The sequence below is a fragment of the Homo sapiens genome, chromosome 4 (assembly GCF_000001405.40).
Source record: "Homo sapiens chromosome 4, GRCh38.p14 Primary Assembly".
Taxonomy (NCBI): domain Eukaryota; kingdom Metazoa; phylum Chordata; class Mammalia; order Primates; family Hominidae; genus Homo; species Homo sapiens.
The window spans coordinates 41,139,576-41,165,263 of NC_000004.12; the positions used below are offsets into that span (position 1 = coordinate 41,139,576).

Sequence of the window (25,688 nt, forward strand, 5' to 3'; positions counted from 1 at the left end):
TATTCAGTGCTTTAAAAAAAATGAACTATCAATTCATGAAAAGACATGGAGGAAACTTAAACGCACATTGGTAAGTGAAAAAGCCAATCTGAAAAGTCTATCTATTGTATAATTCTAACTATATGACACTGTGGAAAAAGTAGAACTATGGGGCAAAAGATAAGTAGTGGCCAGGGGTTCAGGAAGAAGAAATGAACAGGTAGAACATGCAATTCTTTTAGGGCAGTGAAACTATTTTGTATGATACTGTAATGGAAATACAACTTATATATTTATGAAAGCTCATAGAACATACAACGCAAAGAGTGAACCTAATATAAACTATAGATTTTAGTAATGATAATGTATCAATATTGGCTCATCAATTATAATATACCACACTAATGCAAGACACTAATGATATAGGAAACTGGCAGTAGAAGTCACATGGAAACTTTCTGTACTTGCTGCAAAATTTCCCCCAAAAAACAGTGTAATTACAAAATATAATATTAATGAAAACTCTATCATTAAAAAGAGGAAATAAGTCTTTAAATTCATTTAATTCTCCTTAAAACAGAAAGCTGACTGAGGTTCTGGTGAGAACAGCAGCTGTTACCTTGTCGTGTTAAAACTAACTCCAGACAGCTTTCTGATAGCCTCTCATTTGGCTAGGCCTTAAACAATTGTATTCAGAGTAAATAAACAAGATTCTACCATTACTAACCTCTGAAATTATCTTCATTATCTGCAATTTACTTTAACTATATGCTCTGGAAAGCCTTCCCTTCTTTTAGACTCAAAAAGCAAGTAATTGAATTAAATCTATTTTTTAAATCTTTTTAATGTTTTTTAATGTTCCTAAGACTTAATCCTCTTCTACCTTGTTAAATAATCGCCCTCCCTGCTAGTCTACCACCCAACAGAATTCCTAATTCCATCTCTGTTCCCACAAAACTTTGTTCTTACCTCTAGAGATACATTGTCACACTGCATGTCAGTCATGTGAATACTTATCTGGCCTATCCCCTACACCAGGGGCCCCTGGTACCAGTCTGTGGCCTGTTAGGAACCAGGCTGCATAGCAGGAGGTGAGCAGTGGGCTAATGAGCACAGCTTCATTTGTATTTACAGCCGGTCTCCATCGCTCACGTTACCTCCTGGGCTCTGCCCCCTGACAGATCAGTGGCAGCATTAGATTCTCATAGGAACGCAAATGCTATTGTGAACTGCACGTGCCAGGGATCTAGGTTGCATGCTTCCTATGAGAATGTAATGCCTCATGATCTGCCACTGTCTCCCATCATCCCCAGATGGGACCACCTAGTTGCAGGAACACAAGCTCAGGGCTCCCACTGATTCTACATTACAATGAGTTGCAAAATTATTTCATTATAGACCACAATGTAGTAATAATAATAGAAATAAAGTGTACAATAAATGTAACGTGCTTAGATCATCCTGAAACCATCCCTGCCACCCCACTCACTGTTTGGAAAAACTGTCTTCCACAAAACTAGTCCCTCATACCAAACAGGTTGGGGACTGCTGCCCTACACCATGAGCCCCTAAAGACAGGGACTATGCCACAGTCATTTTACACTAAGACCTCACTCCTAGAAGGTACCACCAATTGGGATGTTTTGGATGTAAGAGACAGACACCTAACTCAGATGAACTAGCTAAGTTGCCAAGAAAGTGAAACAGGAGATGCTGGGTTTAGGCACTGCTGAATTGCAGGTCAAAAATATGTGTGTGTCTGTGTGTGTGTGTGTGTCTGTGTGTGTGTGTGTCTGTGTGTCTGTGTGCACACGCGCATGTGTGCGTGTGCATGTGTGCATATGCATACGAGTGTCCCTTCCCTTCCCACCAATCTCTTTTCCTCCATCTCCCTGCTTTGATTTATCCTGTGTTGTCTTAATTTTCAGTAAGGTTTTCCCTAAGTCATAGAAAAACTGCCACTAGCAGCTCCAGCTTAACAAACTCACAGAAGGCAAAACTTCTTCAATAGTTGCAATAAGAATACTATGGCCCCTCCAAAGATGGTTGTGACCCTTTAGTCCATTTTCATGCTGTACCTGAGACTGGGCAGTTTACAAAAGAAAGAGGTTTAATGGACTTAAGTTCCATGTGGCTGGGGAAGCCTCACAATCATGGTGGAAGGCAAGGAGGAGCTAGTCATGTCTTGCATGGATGCCAGCAGGCAAAAAAAGACAGAGCTTGCGCAGAGAAACTCCTGTTTTTAAAACCAACAGATCTCATAAGACTCATTACCTATCACAAGAACGGCACAGGAAAACCCCACCCCCATAATTCAATCACCTCCCACCAGGATCCTCCCATGACATGTGGGAATTATGAGAGTTACAATTCAAGATGAGATTTGGGTGGGGACACAGCCAAACCATATCACTGGCCACGCTTATGTTACATGCCCATAACTGAGTCAGCAGGGTCACCTCCTCTAACTACATAGGGTGAAAATGAAACAAGGGCAATTGTCCAGGAAAAATCTGGATGATTTATTAAAAGATGGAGGAAAAGGATGCTGGGCAGACAAAGCCAACAGACATTCACTACTTCACAGATTCTGAAAGACTGTGACTCACTACTTTCTAGGGAGTATTTATTAGCTGCTTATGTAGAAAGCTGACTTACCCACTGAATGTCCAACAGAAATGGTCTGCAATGTCTGTCCCTGTATAATATATGTTTTCAAAATGAATTATTTCACTTTACTGCCTCATATGGGGTTATCCATGCTGTTTCATTCACCTGGCCCACAGTGAGAGCATTTGGCATTTATTTAAACACCTATGTTTTTCAGGACATTCTCTTCCCCTGTCGTATATAAGTATCTTAATGCCAAATGCACACACTGCAGAAAATGAAATGTGTTGGTGGCTTTTGTTTGGGGAAAGATTAGAGTATATAAAATCTGGCCAAGCAGACTGGAGGCTCACAGCCAGAATTATCCCAACAGAAATGGCAGGTCTCCATGCCCCACCCTTCAAAGTTCGAAAACACAAATGAGTGCAAGTCTTTGAAACTACAAATCCAACTCCATGAGGCTGGACGCCGCTTTCTCCCCAAAATAAAGCCAAGACCATTGAAGTTGGCATAGGTGGCTTCCAGTTGTGGCTTCTTCCAATATTTGTGCCAACGTCCTTCTCTCTTCTCTGAGAGAGGAGAGGAAGATGAGAAAGAGGATAGGACAGAGGAGAGGAAAAGGAAGAGAAGGAAAGGAAGACATCATTACACTATACACAAAAGGCTATCAGCATGTATCTGCCATTTACACATGCTGGGACTCTCACAAATAACTGAAAATAATCATTTGGGGTGGTCTCCAAAATGAGCCTGGAAGGAACAAAACAACTTTTCCCTATCCGGCCCAATCCGCTTTATCCAGCCTCTCTTACTTATACTAACCTGATTTTGCTTAAATTATTGTCAGCCTCAGCTTTTCACAGGAGCTTTCTTTTATGGATTTTCCATCCAGCAAATGTTTCTGTTCCACGGCTGGGCAGATCCGACCACAGCATGCTTGGCTACAGACCACAGCAGCTCACCCACAGCAACTCCAACCTGGGGGGGCAAAGGCCAGAAGCCATTATAAGGACTCAAAGTCATCAACTTTCTCTCTCTCAAGGGCACATATTTGGCAGGATAACCTCAAACATGTTCCCAACGTTCAAAATCATTATAAACAGAGGCAACAGCTTACAAGGTATCCTAAAGACAAGTGTGGGCTATTCTGAGGGGAGGATTGAAATATTTAATCATTTATTGAAAAGGTTTGGCCTAGTGATTATGCTCTGTTTGTGGGAAACTGAAAAGCCAGATGTTTTAATTAACCATGGAAAACACAAGCTACAACTAAAATTTCATGAACATACTGATCTGCCCCGTGGAAAACCACAGGAATGTTCTGGCAGGGCTCAGTCTGAATTCTTGGGACACAGAGGGCTGGAATCATTCCCCTTAGGAACTGAAACAGAAAATTAACTTGCTCAATATGCTTTAAAAAGTAAAGCGAAACCCAGATTTAATCTCAAATATAAAACATTACAGGACTTCAAAGGGCACCACAAAAAGACACATAAGTGGGGGCTATAAAAAATTCTAATGCGGTTCAGGATTTAGAATATATTTACATTGCAATATGAATGGTGTAATAGAAAATTTTATAGGCTACATAATCCAAAGGGGAAACGAATAATCTTTCATTTCCTAATAGAGGAAATTATATATGAAACCAACATTCAACAAGTAAATCATAAATATTATCAAACGTATAACATAACTGGGCAAAAGGAATCCCTTAACTATCCTGCTGCCAAACATGTGGCCTAGCCCACAGGCGCTGCCATGCTTTAGCTAGAGGAATCAGGGCTTAAGGAAAAACAGTGTGGAAATAACTTATGCTCACTGGTGGTGCAGCTAGCAATTCTGGCACAGAAAACTCAATGAGGGAATCTTATGAAAGCAATTAGTGAACATTAAGAGCTAATAGATTAAGAAGTCTTCATTTGTTAATTATAGTAACAGTTATGACGACATCTGTATATGCCAAATATTGAAAGTCTATTCAAGAGGGGACAGGACAAATGTTATTTTCAGATACTGGGTCCACAGTTCTATTTCTGTAAATCAAAACAGTCCTCGTCACAAGTGTGCTAAGCATAACATTACATTAATCTCTACCTTCAGTTGAAACCTCAGTCCCAAAAATCATCTCGAAAGGAACAGCAGAAAAAAAGCAAAATATCAAGTTATATATGTATGGTATGATCCCAATTTTGTTCTACAAACTGAGTGCATATAATCTAAAGACACCTAAGTATGAACAACAGCACTTTTGGGTTATGGAATGGAAAGCTATTTGTATTTTCTTTCTAGTATTTTCCAAATTTTCTACAATTAACATGTATTTTAAGAGAATTTTTAAATAAGGGGTTTAAGACTGCAGGAATACAAATCAGAAATGGGGTATCTATGCTATATTAGCCTGATCTTCGGTCTGCCTCTTATCTGAACAGAGCTAACAAATGAAGAAGTATTTATCTGATCACAGAAGTTCTTAATTTACACGTTCAAAACCCAAGTGTCCAGTAACACTTCCAGTGATGAACAACACTTTCCTAGAAATAAAAAATTCTTTTTTACTCTGCAAACTTGCCACAGACAGAGAACCATAGTTGTTTCCCTCCCTCACCTATCGCATCCAAATTTCTCTATCACTGGCCATGCCATAAAACTGTCACTAAGTTAAAAGAACGGGCTGGGCATGGTGGCTTATGGCCTGTAATCCCAGCAATTTGGGAGGCTAAGGCCAGAGGATCACTTGAGCCCAGACGTTCAAGACCAGCCTGGGCAACAAAGAGAGGCCTTGTCTCTACAAAAATTTAAAAAATTAGCCGGGCATGTTGGGACATGCCTGTGGGCCCAGCTATTTAGGAGGCTGAGGTGGGAAGGTCACTACAGCCTGGGAAGTCGGGGCTGCAGTGAGCCATGTTCACGTCACTATACTCCAGTCTGGGAGACAGAGTGAGACCTTGTTTCAAATACACAAATAAATTAAATAAATAAAAGAATGCCTCCTGGTGTTACCTACTCACAGGAGCAGGGCCCTTAATGACTCCTGGCACACTCATTTCTGATGCTCTTGGCATCCTGAAAAACACAAGACACAATGGTGGAATCTTTACACTGGGGCCTTGGCAACCCATTGCTCTAATAAGCCCGTGCCCAGAGAGGTAAAATGTCTTTCCCTCAGCCACACAGCCAGCAAAGCAGGAATGAGAGTCCAGACCATTTGCCTCCACTTTGACCAAGTGCTCTTTCCACCACTATGACATTTCAGCATGAACTCTTGGAAATAAACTTTGTACAAATCACGTGCAGGTATTAAATTCATACCAGCAAAACCAGAAGAAGAAGACAGAAATTTATTCTACCAAAAATGAAACGCATGCAGGAGAAAAAGTGAAGACTCAATCCTAGGCTAAAAAAGACACAGCTCTGCCTAGAACATGTTCAACTGAAGAAACAATGAGTGCACTGTGCTTGGGCAGCAGGTGTCCTGAACAGAAACTGCCTATCACACCGAAAGCTTTCTGGTCCTAGCACTGGCCCTGTTGATAACACTACAGTCCCACTGTTCAAAGAAGAACAAAAGGCTTTCAACAAGATAAAACTACACTTGCACCAAGCCACCTGTGAGAGACAGGAAAGATGCATGCACCAGTGTTAGAAATAATAAATGTCTGAAGGCATCAAGTCTGGCCTCTTACTTCCAAAATGACCCAAGTCTTAAGGGAAAGACATTAGTGGTTTCAAAAATTAAGAGATGCCAGGCACGGTGACTCATACTTGTAATCCTAGCACTTTGGGAGGCCAAGACAAGTGGATTGCTTGAGCCCAGGAGTTCGAGACCAGCCTGGGCAACATAGTGAGACCCTATCTCTACAAAAAATTTTAAATATTTATCCAACATGGTGACTCATGCCTGTAATCCTAGCACTCTGGGAGGCTGAAGCAGGCAGATAACTTGAGGCCAGGAGTTCAAGACCAGCCTGGCCAACATGCCAAAACCCTTTCACTTCTAAAAATACATAAATTAGCAAGGCATGGTGGCACACGCCTCTAATTCCAGCTACTCAGGTGGCTGAGGCAGGAGGATCACTTGAACCCAGGAGGAGGAGATTACAGTGAGCTAAGATAGCAGCACTGTACTCCAGCCTGGGCAACAGAGTAAGACTGTCTCAAAAAAAAAAAAAAAAAAAAAAAAACCCGGGCATGATGGCACATGCCTGTGGTCCAGCTATTCAGAAGGCTGAAGTGGGAGGATTGCTTGATCCTGGGCGGTTGAGGCTGCAGTGAGCTGAGGTCTCACCACTGCACTCCAGCCTGGGCAAGAGAACAAGACCCCGTCTCAGAAAAAAAAGAAATAAAGAAAACAATACAGTCACTAATAATTAAAATAATCCTAATCCTTCATCGCTTATGTCCACACAGCCTTGGAGTAAGAGCAGGCTTTTTTCTCTCTTCTTCAAGATTATTTCTTTGAAACATTGTTTACTTCCACTTTTTGTGTTACATCTACCTATGGTATCCACGCCACACCAATCAGAAACCCAGGAGTCTCACAAAATGGGAATAGTCTGAAAAGCCAGGGGAGAGAGGAGGACAGGTGGCAATGACAAACTCAGAAACAATCCCTGAAAGGTCTTTACTGAGCTCCCTTCTCGTCATCCTTTCCCGACTGTGCATCAGGGCAACAAAGGCATGAACTGTGAGGCTGCGCATAAAGCCGCGGCCCGGGCTGATGTGATCTGGCTTTGCGAGAGCCCGAACAAACACAATGGCTCTGTCCCGCCTCAACTGAGAAGTCAGGCGCTGGGTGAAAAAAGAAAATGCTTTTTCTCCACCCAAAACCACTTCTCAAACCCCTACCATATATTCCCGTGACGGATCCTGAAGGCAACACAATGTCAGCAGTTTATTTATTCCCTTTGATGCCTCAGTTCTAACAGTAAACATTAATGTCTGCAGCAGGCAAACGGAATCAGGGTCTTGTTGGTATTTCACAATGAAATCATAGCTTTGTGGTGAGTATTGTTCCAGTAACACCTTAAAGTCATTTGTAAGATAATGAGGGTAAGTTTAAATGTAGCAGTCTGATAAAATAACCTCTAACCCAAGAATCACAAAGTAGATTAAAGCTTACTGAAGTCACCAAGTTATTTTTCTCAACAGAAGACTAAACAGAAATGAGAACTGGATTTGATTCATAGATTGTGAAATCCTTTTTTATTCAAAACCTTGGTCATATGTCAGTTGGTCTTTGGCCTCCGTGAATGGATCTGGCAAAATGTGCACCCAGACACTGCCACCATTTGAGGATCTTCAATGTTTGGCCAGCTTTTTTTTTTTTTTTTTTTTTTTTTAAATGAGGAGTTTCCCTCTTGTCTCCCAGGCTGGAGTGCAGTGGCACAATCTCAGCTCACTGTAACCTCCACCTCCTGGGTTCAAGCGATTCTCCTGCCTCAGCCACCCAAGCAGCTGGGATTACAGGCGCGCACCACCACACCTGGCTAATTTTGTAGTTTTAGTAGAGACAGGTTTCACCATGTTGGCCAGGCTGGCCTCAAACTCCTGACCTCAGGTGATCCACATGACTCAGACTTTTTTGTTTTTACTAATGTCACAGGGAAGGTCTCTCCTTTTCAAGCCTGATTCCAGAAATATCCACCAAGCCAATTCAACACAGCTGAAATTTCTATGTCAAAATGACCAGGCAGACAAGGCAAGAAGGAACACACTGGAGCCCACTCCTCTAGGGCTGTGAAAATTTGTTTAATTTTGGGAACCATTGATTTACTGCATTAACTTACTTAAAAAAAAGTATTGGAATATTTTTATTATAAAAATTAGATTTACAGTATTGATAAATTTACAGGTTAAAATGTCTGGGAAAGAAGAATATAAATTGTTTGAAAGAATGAGGGTTCGTTAAAAAAAAATTTTCTTTCAAAAAGAATCTATCACAGGTAACCAAAAAAGAACTACTATGAAAACCGAAACTGGCATCCAACAAAGTCTGTGACTGATAACCTTAGGGCAGTTTGGAAAAGGGTTCATGTAATAACTTTCCCTGTAGGATTTCAACTAGGGGAAGGCGAATATTAATTAATTAATAGGTTCACTAATGTTTTTAAAGCTGTTCTGAAACAAGGGATGAAGAAATTAACAGATTTAGAGGTTGTGGTTCCAGGTCTGCTACTTATGACCCAAGGATAACTAACAGCCTCTTTAACCTCTGTTCCATCATCTATAAAACTAGGATGATACTATTAGCCAACTTCATGGAGCTGTCAACCATTCAAACTGAATATGAAAGCATTATTGAAACTATAAAGCACTATATTCATCCAACAAATATTTACTAAGAAACCACTATGCTGCTAGATGTGGCATTACCAATACAACCATGAACACTAAGACACAGCTCTTTCTGCACGGACTGACTCTAAGGGAAGCTGTGATCTGTGGGAAGGCTCAGGGGGCTAAAGGAACATGCAGGCGGCACCTAATCGGAATTCCAGACAAACACCAGGTATTGTGACGTTCCCAATACTTCTGGAAGGAAGTTTATCAGTGAAAAGTGATAGTGTCATTTTTAATTTTGGTTGCTTGTTAGCTCATTCATTTAGTACATTTTTTTAGCGAGCAATCACTATGTATCAGGTACCATTCTAGGTGATGGAGACTGGCACTAAAAAAAAATTTCTGCTTTAATGGGGCTGACATTTTGGTCATTCTTCATCTGTAGGAAATATAAAATACATATAGGAAATAGAAACGAGCAGCAATGCTACGTCTGCTTCAATACAATGATTTATTTTAACCAAAGTATCCATGCAAAAGTGTTAAAAGGAATATTCTAACTGATCCGTATATAGTAAAATATTTTATTTCTTATTTTAATCTCCAGGCCACATTTTACAATATACCAAATAACTACCACCATATGAAGGGCGCTCTGAGGTTTGAGGGATTACAATTTATGTGTTTTGGCATACAATGGAACACTCCCCAACACTTTTTTTTCACCCCAGGAAAAAAGAACACATGCTGAAATTCATCCAGTAATAACCCCAGTTTTACCACGGGGAATATCAATTATTTTAGAAGTATTTCCTGTAGTCATTATTTTAAAGATTAAAAAAAAATTAAATTATTTTAGAAACTAAACTCAAGTTCAACTTTAACATGCCAAAAGTCTGTCTTAGCAAAGTTTCTTTTTTAAAAAAAATTTTTATTTAATTAAAAGTCCTGAGAACTAAGCTATGCAGGACATGTCAGCCCTGCTGTACAAAAAATTCAATATGGGATGCAGGGGAAAGGGCTGAGGAAAGGGGGGAGAAAGAAGGAGAAGGGAAGGCACAGGCGTTAAGATCTACACATTAATCTCTAATAATCTGAAAATCCATGCACTCAACAACACTAAAAGCCAATGTTCAAAATACTGCATAAAAAGAATGAATATCTGGGTAAAAGTGACCAAGATGTTACTCAACTCCAGAGCAAGGGTTCCCAAACCTGGGGTAATACGATTTGACTGTGTCCCCACCCAAATCTCATCTTGAATTGTAGCTCTCATAATCCCCATGTGTCATGGCAGGGACCCAGTGGGCGGTAACTGAATCACTGAATCATGGGGGCAAGTTTTTCCCATGCTGTTCTCATGATAGTGAGTAAGTCTCACGAGATCTGATGGTTTTATAAAGAGCAATTCCCCTGCACACACACTCTTTCCTGACACCATGTAAGACGTGCCTTAACTCCTCCTTTGCTTTCCACCATGACTGTGAGGCCTCCCCAGCCATGTGGAACTGTGAGTCCATTAAACTTCTTTCTCCTTATAAATTACCCAGTCTTGGGTATTTCTTCATACCAGTATGAAAATGGACTAATACACTGGGGTTCTTACATAAAATACAAAGCCCAAGTACTCTGCATCATTTTTCAACTGTTCCCAGATGATGCTAATACAGCCACGGTTGGGAACCACTGATTTACTGTATTTTACTTAATGAGAAAAAGTATTGGAATATTTTTATTATAATAATGGGCAACTGTTTTCTGAACTTAAATCCCCAAATTTACCAATAAATTGTGTAATTCAAGAGGATGTGAAAAACATGTATTAAGTGTTGTCTATTTAGAGCATTGGGGAAGTAGCAGGTTAGGTGTCTAGTTATTTTGATTAACTTCCAACTTAAGATTAGTAAAAGGCATGCTTCCGGTCTCAGGGAATAAATGTTCCTTCATCAAAACTAGACTACCTAGAAAGAAGCTGGAAACAGTGAAGTCTAGATCATTAGGAATTATTGCCAAAGCTAACACCTTTTCACAATTCCATGCTGTCATTAGTGTCATTCCTTCTATCTATACTGCCCTGCCCTACTACTCTGTCAATTCTTCATTCCTCAAGGTCCAGCCCAAATATTACTGCCCTCATGAAGCCTTCCCCAGTATAGCAACAGAAAGAATTCCCGAAGGCTTTGCAATTTTCATTGCTTCTCCTATCATACATAGCAGGCTGATGTTCATTTCAGTAATATATATGCCTTATCCTGAAAGAATCTCTACAACATCTCACCTCCTCACCGTTTTTTGTTTGTTTGTTTGTTCTTGAGACAGAGTCTCATTCTGTTGTCCAGGCTGGAGTGCAATGGCCCGATCTCAGCTTACTGCAACCTCCACCTACCAGGTTCAAGCGATTCTCCTGCCTCAGCCTCCCGAGTAGCTGGGATACAGACAACCACCATCATGTCAGGCCAATTTTTGTATTTTTGGAGGGACGCAGTTTCACTATTTGGCCAGGTTGGTCTTGAACTCCTGACCTCAGGTGATCTGCCCACCTTGGCCTCTCAAAGCGCTGGCCCAGACCTCTCCCAATCTACTGCACCACAACTCTTGGACTTCTGTGCCCCTAACATTCTAACTCCATACTGCATCCATGCTCAAGAGACACATTTCTTTACATTTTCATACAGGTAATCTTGAGGTGTGTCTTATCTTTTTTTAATGGCATTTTAAAGATGTGGGGCAATGTTTATCTTAAAATTGTTAACATATAATGGTGGCTCTTACAAAGATGCCATCTTACAGTCAACGCATTGCAGAGACTATCTTAGTGCATCTTCCCTTCCGCTGCTCTACAACAGTGCTGTTCAACAGAACTTTCTTCAATTATGGAAATGTTCCATATTTGTATTGTTCAATACAATAGCCACTAGGCACACGTGCCTTGAAATGCAGCTAACTAGCATGACTGAGGAGCTAAATTTTTAATTTATTTAATTTTAATTAATGAGATTTATCTACATGTTTACCAGTTTATTTCTTCATCATTCCTTTTTGCATCTCAGCCCTTCCTCCTGGAATCTCTCCTTCCGGAAGTATATCCTTTAAGAAGTTTCTTAGAAAAGATCTTCTGTGGTAAAATCAGGTTTAGGTTTTTCTGAAAGCGTATTTTGCTTTTTCCTTGAATGACAGCTTTTTTTGACATACAATCAATATTTTCTTTTAGCGTTTTGAAGATATTTTTCCACTAATTTCCAGCTTCCATTGTTGCTGTTGGGAAGTCAGCTCTCAGTCTGATAAACAATCTGCCTTTTTTTCTGGCTGTTCTTAAACATGGTCTTCTTTTTTTTTTTTAAGTGAATTAAAGTTTCTTTATGTCTAGTATGAATTTTTTTATTTATATGTTGTGCTTCCCTTATCGGCCCATAAATTACTTAGATTTAAGGAACATGGCCATTTATGTCATTCATAAACTCTCTCTGGAAATTATATATACATTAGATCTTCAAATAGTACTCCTAACCATTTACTCTTATTATCTTTCTGGAACTCAGAAGAGATCTCGTCATGACCGTTATATCCTTCAACTACTTTCGTTTTTCTTCTCCCTTATGCTACTTTCTGGTTAATTTCTTCAAACTTTTTTTCTAGTTCATTTTTCTAGTTCACCTATTTCTAATCTAATTTATTTAGTTTTTATTTCAACAGTTCTAATATTTCCTTAGGTCTTGGCTTTCCAAATCTGCCTGGTCAATTTTGCATTTAGTTGTGATTACATGTTTTCTTTCTTAAAATATTTCATACCTAGTAATTTTATATTCTATATCAGATAATTCTAATATCTAAAGTCCTTAGGGTTCTAAATCTATTGTTTTTCACTTGTTTCTTTTCTTCTTTTTTTTTTTTCTTGAGATGGAGTCTCACTCTGTCGCCCAGGCTGGAGTACAGGGGCGCAATCTCCGCTCACTACAAGCTCCGCCTCCTGCGTTCACACCATTCTCCTGCCTCAGCCTCCCGAGTAGCTGGGACTACAGGCGCCCACCACCAACCATGTCCGGCTAATTTTTTTTGTATTTTTAGTAGAGACGGGATTTCACCGTGTTAGCCAGGATGGTCTCGATCTCCTGACCTCGTGATCTACCCACCTCGGCCTCCCAAAGTGCTGGGATTACAGGCATGAGCCACCGCGCCCGGCCTTCACTTGTTTCTGATGACTCGCACTGCTGATGGCTTGTTTTCTTGTAGGACTGGAGATCTTTGATTCTGAATGCCGATTTGATTGATGTTAGTCAGGAAAATCCTAAGGTCTAAAGTGAAGATGCCTTCCTCCTGAAAGGATGTGCACTTGCTTCTGCCAGAAGCCAAAGGGCACTATCTTCCTAGAGCCACTTTAGCTCCTCTTACAAATAAGTACTGGTGGAATGCAGGCTCTTATACCTTGCCACTGACCCAAGACTTAGTCTCTAACCACAATGGTGATATTAGAGGTGGAGTATTCCTTATCCACAATGCTTGGGACCAGAAGTGTTTTGGATTTCAGACATTTTCAAATTTTGGAATATTCTGCAGAATATATACTTGCTATGCCTTCCTAATCCAAAAATTATGAGCATTTTCCTTTGAGTTTCATGCCCGTACCCCAAAAGCTTCAAATTTTAGAGTATTTTCAATTTTAGATTTTCAGATTAGGGATGTTCAACCTGTAGCATTTGCTCTTCAGGTAACCTATCTTTTGTGTTTGCTTACACATAAAGCTTGGGTTTTACCTTACCCTTTGATGCTTGGTTGAACTACTTGAAGTGAGAGATTTTGGAGAGGTCTTAGTTCTTGTGGTCTCAGAAATACATTAAAAAATGTTTTATCCAGAATATAATGCTTTAGTGGAAAAGTGTGTTATTCAGTCTACCGTACTGCTAGGAACCTAAGCAGTATTAGTCTTAAACTAATCATCTTCTCCCAAAACCTACTTTTCCTCCTTTGTTACACATTTTGCTAAATGGCACCATTCACTCTCACCCAAATCTGCAACCCAAAATTACAGGTACCAGTGACCCTTCTCTTTCCCCTACTATCTCATCTGTAACTAGGCAACAAGTCCGGAAATCTTACTGATCAAAAGTAGGTTTCCATTTATGTTTCTGATCTTGGCACCTAGTAGTACAATCTTAATCTTCAAGGCCAAGTCAAGATAAATGAGGCAGAATTAAAACCTAAATCCTGCATTCTTACTAAATGAAGGAGCTTTAATATGAAGGAAGCATAGAATACAGGAAAGTGGAGGAATTGAGTTTCATGCAGATCTAAAAAGAACTGGCACTCCGGCTGTCAGAAACATAATCACATTTTCGAGGAGGGGTTTAATTTTAGTGAAACAAAATTATCTGTCATGATAAATTAATATTAATTTGAATTTTATTGGTTTTGTAGTTTTGTTTGAATTTGCTCTATAAATCTATCACTGCTTTACAGTTAAGTAAGAGCTAGACGCGTAAGGAGTTTATACCTAGTTTATATTGAAGCTCCTTCATAATAAAAATATTTATTACTGAGGATTTGTGAGAAATGTTTCCTCTAAATAGAGGTCCATAAATTACTGAGATTTAAAAAACAATGCTCTTTATATACTTCACCACCCTTGATACATTTATCATTCTCTCCATAAATGAATGGAGAGAAATGGAACACAATCGCACATGCAAGAAATCATTTGCTAAACTCCAATTTCTCCCCAGTTCTCCAGCTGTTTGAATTATGTCATTACTGATTAACCTTTGGAGGCAGCAGGCCTTGTTTTTTTCCTCCAATAGAGATGGCTTCTAATAGGAAAAATGACTGGAAACACTTCTCTGCCCAGCTCCTACCATTATACCCGCTTCTACTAGAATTTGTAAAATAACACAAATGCACCTGGCAATAGTACAACCAATCAAATGTCTCCAACAAAGGATGGTCGTCCTTGCCTTAAGGAAGTCCATTTCCTGGTTGCGTTTCCATAACCAGGAATTTTGGGAAATATGGCATTGTTTTTCTGAACGAGTAAAGAAACTACCAATCATTTCTTTTAAACTTCTAGATTTTTATTCTCTATGGACTGTAAACTTTCACAGCTTCATTTTAAAAGTCCTGTGCCATAATTTTACCCTACAATTCCTGTCTCCCTGAAATGTGTAAAACCAAGCTGTAGCCCAACTCTCTCATGCACGCTTTATCAGGATCTCTTGAAATTGTGTAACCTAGACCACAGTCACTTATACTGGTTCAGAATAAACCTCTTTAGACATTTTGGCAGAATTTGGATTTTTCCCATATTGAGTGTTTTTTGGTCCCAAAACTGATTAAAAATTACCTTGTGTTTTAAAAGTCCTATGCCAAGATAAAACTTTCTCTCTCCAACATATGTGCTCATGTATCAACATCTATGTTTCTCCTCCCACAAGGTCCAACTCAATCAGAACCAAAAGGGAGATCACAGCATATCCATGCAATCCCTGGCTGGACAGACGGGGCACCCTAGGGCCTGGAGTTACGCAGCTGACTGGCAGAGGTCAGTACCCAGTTCTACCCAGTGTGGCCACCCGATCCAACTCTGTGACTCATTTTAAATCATAAGTAGTTTGAACAAAGACTTAAAATTAACGGGTTTGGTCATCATTAAAGTTTATTTTTAAACGTCAAGTAATTTGGCATTTTACTAACAACAACTTGAGGATATCCACAGTGTATGAAACACCAACTCTTGTTTCAATAAAAGTCTAATGAAAGTTTCTCAAATTCTGAAACCTAATTCCAGGATTCTTATTTGGAACTGTTTTTTTGTTTTTGTTTTTGTTTTTGTTTTATCAGAGTACATTAACTCAGGGGGAAAATGAGATTATCTTTTGATTCAGAGAGAAACAGAACATTCCACTGATAGTTTAAAAATAACACAGTGACCACAGATAACTGTAGTTCAGCAATTTTCAAATTCAGATTCTGGGTCAGGGCACAAGATTATGCGTCTTTAACAAGCACAACTGATTATAATGCTGATGGTCTAGAGGAAACTTGATGGGAAACACTGATCTATTCAACACTTTTTAAAAGTACACTTTAGTACTATTTCTACCTAGTCAATAAAATAAAGAAGGAAGGAGAAAGGAGGACGAATAAGAGAGAATCCGAAAGACACACTACCCAGACAGACTACTCAGACAGACGAGACAGTCAGGCAGACATGGTGCTACCCGTCAAGCATGCAGGAAAGCAGCTTTCATGGAATAACATTCCTAAACTCTTGCCTAATAAATTATGCTGAGAGCTGCTGCTAAGAATTTTTTAAACCAACTCAAAGCAAAAAAGGAGCTATTCACCCAATCAACAGGTGAAATCAAGTCACAGACTAGTATAGGGTTTGGCAGATTTCAGGCCCTCCAGAAATATCTGTTTAATTGAGAAGCAACTCCAGCTCTAGCTAGAAATCTATTTAACCATAAAAGTGAAATCATAATGAATTTGGTCGTATCTTATTTTTCCCCTTTGTTTGTTTCCTCGGGGCATCTATAATGGCTGAATTGGAAATGGAACCACAAGTATTATAACAACATTTGTTGGAAAGTTCATCCTGTATTTTAGTAGTACATAAGTTGACAGATATGGCTTTATGAATTGTTCTCAGAGACTTAAAAAAAAAAAAACCCTGAACTTTGTAAAAATTACATCCATTATCCACCAAGTAACATTTGCAAGCAAAACCCTCTACTAGAAAAAATGGGTGCGAAAATAGGAAAAGGAGAAGAACAGGAGGAAGAAAAGGAGAACAGGACGTACAATTAATTGAGGGGAAAAAAATCATGAGTAAAGAAGTCAGAAATAAATGTAGCTAAAAATACAAACTGCTACTTTATGGTCCAGATATTGTAATATATCATTTTTAACATAAAAGAAAAACAAATCCTCAACAGACTTCCTATAAACGAAATTATCAGAGTTCCCGAGTACACCGGGGGTCGAGGGAAGAATCTCCATGTGCTCCGAGTATCGATAGCCAGTCCAGCTTCATTCACTCATTCATTTCTTTTCTTTCATTTCAGGAGAACATTTAGCAGTGTTTTGTTTTATTTATTTTATTCAAAGGGAAATCCTCATGTGACACTAGCGGTGAAAATAACTTGTATTTGTAAGTTAATGTCTGCTGTACATCTGAGTACACAATTGTCTTTCACAGAAGATGGAGCAAAGTATTACGGAAAGTTCATTGGCTTCTGAGTCTGAGAGAAATGGGTTCAAATCCTGAATACGTTCCTTATCTGTGTGATCTTAAGACTCATCATTTAATATTCTGAGTCAGTTTCCTCCTCTATAAAACAAGAATCAGACGGGGCACAGTGGCTCACGCCTGTAATCTCAGCACTTTGTGAGGCCAAGACGGATGAATCATCTGAGGTTAGGAGTTCGAGACCAGCCGGACTAACATGGGAAAACCCCCGTCTCTACTAAAAATACAAAATTAGCCGGGAATGGTGGTGTACGCCTGCAATCCCAGCTACTTGGGGGACTGAGGCAGGAGAATCGCTTGAACCCAGGAGGCAGAGGTTGCAGTGACCCAAGATCACGCCACTGCACTCCAGCCTAGGTGACAGAGAGAGACTCTGTCTCAAAAAAAAAAAAAAAAAACAAGGATCATAACATCCACCTTCCAGATGGAGAAGGGATTAGGGATAAAGTGTTTTAAAGCGCTTGGCACAGTGCCTGGCACACAGCAAGTGGCGATTTCTATCGTCTTGCACACCTGCTGCATTTCCCCGAGGGCTCCAGAATTTTCTGGTGCAGGCAGGTCAGCACAAGGCAAATCTTCCCCCGACTATTTTTCCCTGGACTACTTTGTACTCTCTTCCAGGCTGCAAAGAGCTCCTGCATGAAAGCCCCCTTCAAATGACCTTCTAACACTAGGTTGGTGAAGGCCAACAGGCCCTTGGGAGCAAAGAGAACTTTGTTTACCATTGAACTAGAGCGAAAGAAGCCCAATAATTCACCCCTAAATTTTTCACCCCTAGAGCAAGCTAATCCCAAACGCTCTACCGATAGGTGGGAGAGTGGAATGAGCAAATATGAGAGATGGAATTGTAAATTTGCTTCACCACCCACACCAAGCCAACAGCACACACAACTGCTGCAATGCATGGATCTTCCTGAAATCCAGACCAGACCAAGATATGCCAAGAAACAATACAGGGGCAGTGAGAAAGAAGCTGCCAGTTCTTCGCAAATTTCCATGGCTCTTAGCTGAGAGCTACGACTCCAGGCCGCGCAGTGGCTCACACCTGTAATCCCAGCACTTTGGGAGGATGATGTGGGTGGATCACTTGAGGTCAGGAGTTCGGGACCAGCCTGGCCAACATGGTAAAACCCCGTCTCTACTAAAAATACAAAAAATTAGCTGGGTGTGGTGGCACACACCTATAATCTCAGCTACTCAGGAGGCTAAGGCAGGAGAATCACTTGAACCTGGGAGGCAGAGGTTGCAGTGAGCCGAGATTGCGCCACTGCACTCCAGTCTGGGCGACAGAGTGAGACTCCACCTCAAAAACCAAACAGTCAAACAAACAAAAGAGCCACGGACTCCAAAGTGCATTTCCCAAGGTAATCTCACTTGTAATTAAGAGAAGTGGGATATTCGTGGGGACAAAAAAAATGGACTCTGGAGCCAGACTGCCTGGGTTCAAAGCCTGGCTCCACACTCTCCAAGCTGTGTGGCCTTGGACATGTCATGCAGGATAGGCATAATGATACCAACTAACTCACAGGGCTGCTGTCAGAATTAAATAATACAGTAAAAGCACCTGAATTGGCTATTATTACTATGAAAATTACATCCATTTCCCATTAATGAGTCAGAGGTGAAAAGAGTATATTCTTTTCTCAGAAAAGGATTCCTATTTCTCTAAGAGTTTATGTCTAAGAGGCTATGCCCAAACGGAATCATATTTTAGACACACTAAGAAGTCATTCTGGTTTGTTGAAAGCAGTAGCTCTATGCTACAGTGGCATCAGGAACATCTGGAAAACTTTTCCAAAAGGTACATGTCTGGGCAACAGGTCTGGTTTGGAGCCCAAAATGTGTATTTTGACAAAGCAATGTCATTCTAATGCACACATGGAGGTGAGAAACACTGGTTGAAAGCAAGTCCCAACTCTACAAGACAGGTCTTTCCCAGGAGGATGGGAATAGTTCAAGGGTGTTGAGGGGTATCACTGCCCACAAAAATGCCTCTGCAACCTGTATGCTGCTGCCTGAAATTCTTTTAGCAGGATTTTTTTTGTAGCACAAACCAGAAATACATTTTAAACTAGAAAAGGAACTAATATCGATTGAGCACCTACTACATGCCAGGCCCTTTACCCATCTGTCCCGTTTCTCAAGGTCACCCCACAGCACGGTTACTATACAAATGAGGAAACTGAGGAGCAGAGAGGTTCCTAGCATAGCCGAGATTCCATCCCAGGTGTGTCTGCCTCCTGCACCACCCTGCCTCCTAGTCTATGACCTGGGCTCAGGAATCCCGGACACAGTTCCAAATCAAGGACATGAAACTGACTAAAAGGGTAGCTTTACACCCACCCCACCTCACCCTCAGGTCCTCTCAGGTTGTACTGAACCACAATCAGACCTGAAGTTTAAAGATGTAGGAAGGAGTTCTCCACTCCCACCTTGCCACCTCCTCCAAGAGAGGACTGTAGGGCAAGTCTCAAACTCACTAGGCCTTAATGCTGCATCTGTACAAGAGAAATGTATTAGCCTTAAATCGACCTTTCCCTTTCTCTATCTCTCTCTTTTTCTTTCTCTCTCTCTCTGATAGGAAACAGGAAGGAAGAAGGGAAGGGAACAGATGAATTAATATAAAGTCAGATAAAAATGGAGAAAATAACCCTATCTACCTCAAAAGGGCTATTTTTCTATGAAGCGCAAATAAGATCACAATATACACAGTAATATTAGCCGACTTACTTAACTCCTTCAGTAAATCTGCCAAGACAACAACCCAAAGAGATGAGTATTAACATTCCCATTTTTCAGATGAGAAAACTGAAATGGAAAAAGGTAAAAATAACTTGTCCAAAGAACTACAGTTTATGAATGCAAATTCAAACCCAGGATTATATCTAACCTTTTCAACTCTTAGGCCTAGTATCCTATCTTGTTGATAAAATCACTATGTAATCTGTCAATTCTTATAGAGATATTACTTTTCCCTTACTAGGAAATTTTCATGAGCTATAAAGTGCCTCTAAGCTGCAGAAAAAGCAAAGGGATGTGAATAGTCTATAAACTGCAATCTCATCCCTGGAATAAGTAAAAGAAGCTTGTAATCCTATTTGCAGCTTAATGAATGGAAAATAAATAGAAGCATCCAAAGAAAATGAAAGCAAGCAAGAAATAACATTAAGGAAGGAAGCAATAGGCTTAAGGGCAAAAAAAAAAAAAGGAAGAAGAAGGAGAAGGAGGAGGAGGAGGAGGAGGAGGAGGAGGAGGAGGAGAAGGAGAAGGAGAAGGAGAAGAAGAAGAAGAAGAAGAAGAAGAAGAAGAAGAAGAAGAAGAAGAAGAAGAAGAAGAAGAAGAAGAAGAAGAAAACATCACAGGATGCTGTTTTGCGGATACTGGAGAAACAATGCTTTTGGGAAAACATCAAGGATGAAAAACAAGGCCACGGAGGTGATTCAGACAACAGTAATGCAGTGATCCAGGGCCCAGGGCAAGCTGGCTGTAAGGAACGGGTGCGGGGCCTCACAGGTGCTGCCGGCCTGGACAGGGAAGACAAGGGCCTGGGATCAGCAGGACTTGGAAAGGAAATGACGGAAGCCCATAGCTTATGAAGTGATTAGTCAGAGTGCTTGAAGAACACCATGCACATTCCCATTTCACTCCCTGCAAATGATAGGACATGACCAGAGATTCCTTAACAGAGATGACTTTTTAAATATTAGATAAACCAGACGCAGGGAAATTTTCTCTCCAGAATGCACTCTAGTTAGCAATCAGAATGACAGAGGAGACTTCAGGGAGCTGAAGATTGCAGCAGACATAACCAGCAGTTAGGAGACCCAGGTTCAAGATACGGCTCCACCACTAATGCCCTGGGCTTGGCCGCCTTGGGCAAATCCCTCAGCGACTCAATCCATCAGCCTCCAAGAGAAGGGTGGGACAGGATGACCTCTAAGAGGCTGTGTTTGGTGACTAACTCCCTTCCCTGGTCTCCCTCTCACCCTCTTTCATCTCACATTGCAATGAGCTCTCCAATATACTTCTAGCTCAAAGAGAGGGAGGGAGGGAGGAAGGGTGGCCTAAGGATGACAAATGTGCTTAAACCTCAACATGCCTTACAAGAACTGAAAATCCAAAATATAAATCAAACTAATAAAGCCAATGAAAATTATATCTACCACTTATTGAACCATTACTATGTGCCAGACACTGTCCTAAGCACCTCGCATGCATTAGCTCACTTAATCCTTATGACGACCCTCTAAGGAAGGAGGTAGATAAGTAATTTGTCCAAGTGACACAGCTTGTGGTTAAGCTGAGATGTGAATGTGGCCTCCCGAGCCTGACCTCTTAATCATTATACCCACAGCATTAACTTTGGGGATAAGACTACCCCAGCTAATTATGATATGATGCCTCTTTGCTTTAGAATGAAATTACACCAACTCAAACTGACAGCATGTATTACAGAATGCTGCAGCTATGATCCTCTTCCCTGGCAAAAAAAAAAAAAAAAAAAAAAAACGTGGTAAGTTTGGAATTGTGATTTGGCAAATATACAGCTTGGGTGAAACCATGACTTTCATAGACACTGCTCGTTTATTCTGGAATCTCTGAGTCCAAGCCCAAAGTCTCTCTCAAAAGTATAGCATTCAGCCGGGCATGGTGGCTCACACCTGTAATCCTAGCACTTTGGGAGGCTGAGGTAGAATAACTCCTTGAGCCCGGGAGTTCAAGACTAGCCTGGGCAAGATGGCGAAACTCTTCTCTACAAAAAATTTCAAAATAAGCTGGGTGTAGTGGCAGGCACCTGCAGTGCCAGCTACTCAGGAGGCTGAGGTGGGAGGATTGTTTGAGCTCAGGAATTGGAGGCAGCTGTGAGCTAAAATTGTGCCACCGCCCTCCAGCCTGGGTGACAAAGCAAGACCCCATCTCTAAAAAGATAAAAATAAAAAATAAAGTACAACATTCCAGACACCAGGGACAATGAGGACCCCACACAGCCAACTTCTTATTTACTCAGGAGAGTAGGTGAAGCCCAGAAATGTTGAAAGAGTGGCTCCAAGTCACACAGGTAATTAGAGAGAAAGCTAGAGCTAGAATGTTGAGCCTCCCAAATTCCAGTGTAAAGTTCTTTCAATTCTTTAAAAACAAAACCCATGTCTCCTATCCCTTATTTTTTTTCCGCTTATTATAGAAACTTTCAAACACATACAAACGTAGAAAGAATGAATGAACCCCCATACAGCCAGCCATCATCCAACTTCAATGATTATTAACTCATGGGGAATCTTACCTTATTTCCACATTTATCTACTCTCCCCACCTCATCACCACCAGTTGCTTTGAAGTAAATTCCAGGCATCACACATCCTTTCATCCACAAATATTTCAGCATATATCTCTTAAAAAGATAAAATTTTTAAGAGACACTCTAAAGCATAACCACAATAGTATTAACACACCTATAAAAATTAACAATAATTTCTTAACATCAATTATCTGATCAGTGTTCAAATTTCCCCGTCTTTTTTTTTTTTTTTTTTACAATTTGTCGAATCACAATCTATACATAGATTGTGTATTGAATCACAGTCTACACATAGCAACTGGTTAAAGTATTTCTTAAATTTCTTTTAATCTCTAGGTCTCCTATTCATCTCTCTGTCTCCCTTTTTTCTAACAATTGATTCATTGATAAAATCAGATCAATTGTACCATGGGGACGATTCTGTCTCAAAGTCTGGATTTTGCTTTCTTTTTATCTCCCCACAACGCTCTTCATTGTACCTTGCATAAAGGAAGTGAGCTTAGACTCACCCATATGCATTCTTTCTCTCTCTATCTCACCCTCTACATAGACACACATACATGCTCATCATAAAATAATTTAAGAGAACAGGCAAGGCACAGTGGCTCCTGCCTGTAATCCTAGTACTTTGGGAGGCTGTGGTGGGAAGACTGCTTGAGCCCTGGAGTTTGAGACCAGCCTGGGCAACATGGCAAGACCATGTCTCTACAAAAAAATAAACAAAATTAGCCGGGCAAGGTGGCATACACCTGCGGTCCCAGCACTCAGGAGGCTGAGGTGGGAGGACGGCTTGCTGGATCCCAGGAGTTTGAGGCTACAATGAGCTCTGATCACACCACTTCACTCTAGCCTGGGCAACAGAGTAAGACTCTGTTAAAATAAATAATAAATTTTATTTAATTGTTGATTCAATTCAGCAAATATCCACTGAGTATCAATAAGGGCAAGGTGTGTGGAATAACAAGGTGAATAAGATATGGTCTTTATCTCTGGGAAGACACAATCCAAGAAAGGTGATAAGCTCTATAATGTTAATTCAAGGAAGATAAGTGAGAACTACTTAAGAGGACTCTAGAAGAATTTCCAGGATAAGGTAAGACCTAGGCTAGACTTTGAAAATGGCAGTTTGGGCCCAGATGGAGCAACATGCAATGTGACATAGAGGACAGCTTGGGTAATGCCACAAGGCAGGGATGATTCCGGCAGATTTTAAAACAGCAGCAGCACAGGTGGGTAAAAGATCTGGGGGGAAAGAGTATGGTAATGATAGACCACATATCTGCTGAGAGATTTGAGAATCATCACGCATTTTTGAATAGGGGAATAGCCCTGGATCTGTATTCTAAAGCATTAGTGAGTGTATTAGAAGTGAGGATTCCAGTTTGGATTTCAATAATCCACCTGATGGGTCCCTGCACTAGGTCAACAAGAATGACCAAAGAAAGAAGGAAGTGACATGGTTTATCAACTGAATACCTGGGGCCAGGAGGCAGGAGGAGTAAAAGATAATATAAGCTGATTTTCAGCTTTCAGAGAAAGAAGATTACTTTCTTAAGGAAAAGAAAAATTATCCCTATAGTTCCTCAAGAAAATATATACACCTTTCAGATCATAAACAAGCGTCAGTCAAAAATTCTTGTCAACAGTGATAATGGGCATCCTGGACATCTTGACTTTAAGCTAAATTCAACAGATCCCAGGGAACACTGGACCAATCCACTTTCTTCAATATGTTCATAAATCTTATTTTGATTTCTCTGAGGCCTTCCATACTCTGGGCATGTGAGTCTGAGGCAAATGTGTATTTTCCACGTTAATTCTATTTTTTAGAAAATGAGAGAGAAAAAGAAATTCAAGTCTAAAAATTTTGAGATCACCTTTATACTCCAAAACCTCAAATAACATACTTCTACAGCTTTGTATTCAACCTACATGAAATATAAATGTTCTCTAACGTTTCAAAAACAAGGAACATAGATGGAAGGAAATTAATTATAAAGAAAAGTCTATAAGATCTATAAAGGCTGGGGTACCTTAAACAAAATGCTTGGGATCAGTAGAGTTTCGGATTTTGTATTTGGAAATATCTGCATAAGGAAGTATCTTGGAGATGGAGCCCAAGTCTAAACATGAAATTCATGTTTCATATATAACTTATACACATAGCCTAAAGGAAATTTTACACAATATTTTTAATAATTTTGTGCATGAAACAAAGTTTTGACTTTGGTTTGACCACAACCCGTCACATGAGGTCAGGTGTGAAATTTCCCTCTTGCGGCATCACAATGGCAGCTAAAAAGTTTTGGATTTTGGAGCACTTCAGATTTTCACATGAGGGGTACTCACCTTGTACACTGAGATAAAACGTAAGCAGTGTGCACATTACAATCTCTGAATCCACAACTGATTTTGAAAATATACACAAATAATTATCAGTAGTCTAGGACTACAGAGTTTCAAGACACTGACACAGGATGCAAAAGGCGGCTCCTTTGATTCAGAAGAGATCCCTAGATACATAATTTCCCTTTTATCTAAGAGACCACAATAGTTTCCCTTTGTACCAGACAGCACAAACCCAATTAAGTGTTTAATAGATACTTTCTGTGATAAGTCCCTTTGAAAAACAAAACAAAACAAAATCTTATATAGATTGCCTGAAAAAGTGAAGTAATATCACTTCTCGTTAAATGTTAACCTTTAAATAACTAAAACAGCTAGTTTATCCTCTGGACTTAAAACCCTACATCACACTAGCTTTAACATACATACAAAGGGTAAATTCCAGTTGTTCTAAGAGCCAATAGAAGGTTATGACTTAAGAGGTTGATTCTTTTAATTTAGAAATAGTCCTAAGTGATCTTTTAAACATGGCTGTTTTTTAGAGGGCTAGACTAAATCCAGGTGTTTAAGTACATATTAAAATTAACATAGAGTCCATCTTCAGGGAATAATTCTGGATTTCACTTTTTTTAAGCTTTTATTTTACAAAGGGCTTTAAGTGAGAATATTTTCCCTTTAGCCCCATTTGCAGAGAGATTCACCATCACAGCAATAAACCACTTCCCAAAGCCATGAACCCTCTAACACTTCCCTCACAAAAACAGCGATTATTTTATATTTTATTTGACCATTTGAGATGTCCGCAAGGCACCCATGTGGGAGAGACAGTTAGAATCCAAAGAACCCCAGGTGTGCCATTGTAGCGGTGTAGCAAGTCACTTAACTGTTTCCTCACTGCACAGGAGGGTCCTAAGAGTACCCGTCTTTCAAGGATGC

The 25,688-nt window shown here is 40.1% G+C and overlaps 1 protein-coding gene across 48 annotated transcripts in view; it reads right to left on the reverse strand.

Moving 5' to 3' along the window:
• The window catches only part of APBB2 (amyloid beta precursor protein binding family B member 2), a 404,516-nt gene that overhangs the window by 329,549 nt on the left and 49,279 nt on the right, over window positions 1–25,688 (reverse strand). For 35 of the 48 annotated variants that reach the window (XM_047450183.1, XM_047450179.1, XM_047450170.1 and 32 more), the window contains one exon: window positions 3,412–3,567. The exons of the other annotated variants lie outside the window; for them this stretch is intronic. The gene's annotated coding sequence lies outside the window, so the exon portion shown is untranslated. The remainder of the gene's footprint in view (window positions 1–3,411; window positions 3,568–25,688) is intronic. 48 annotated transcript variants of the gene reach the window in all.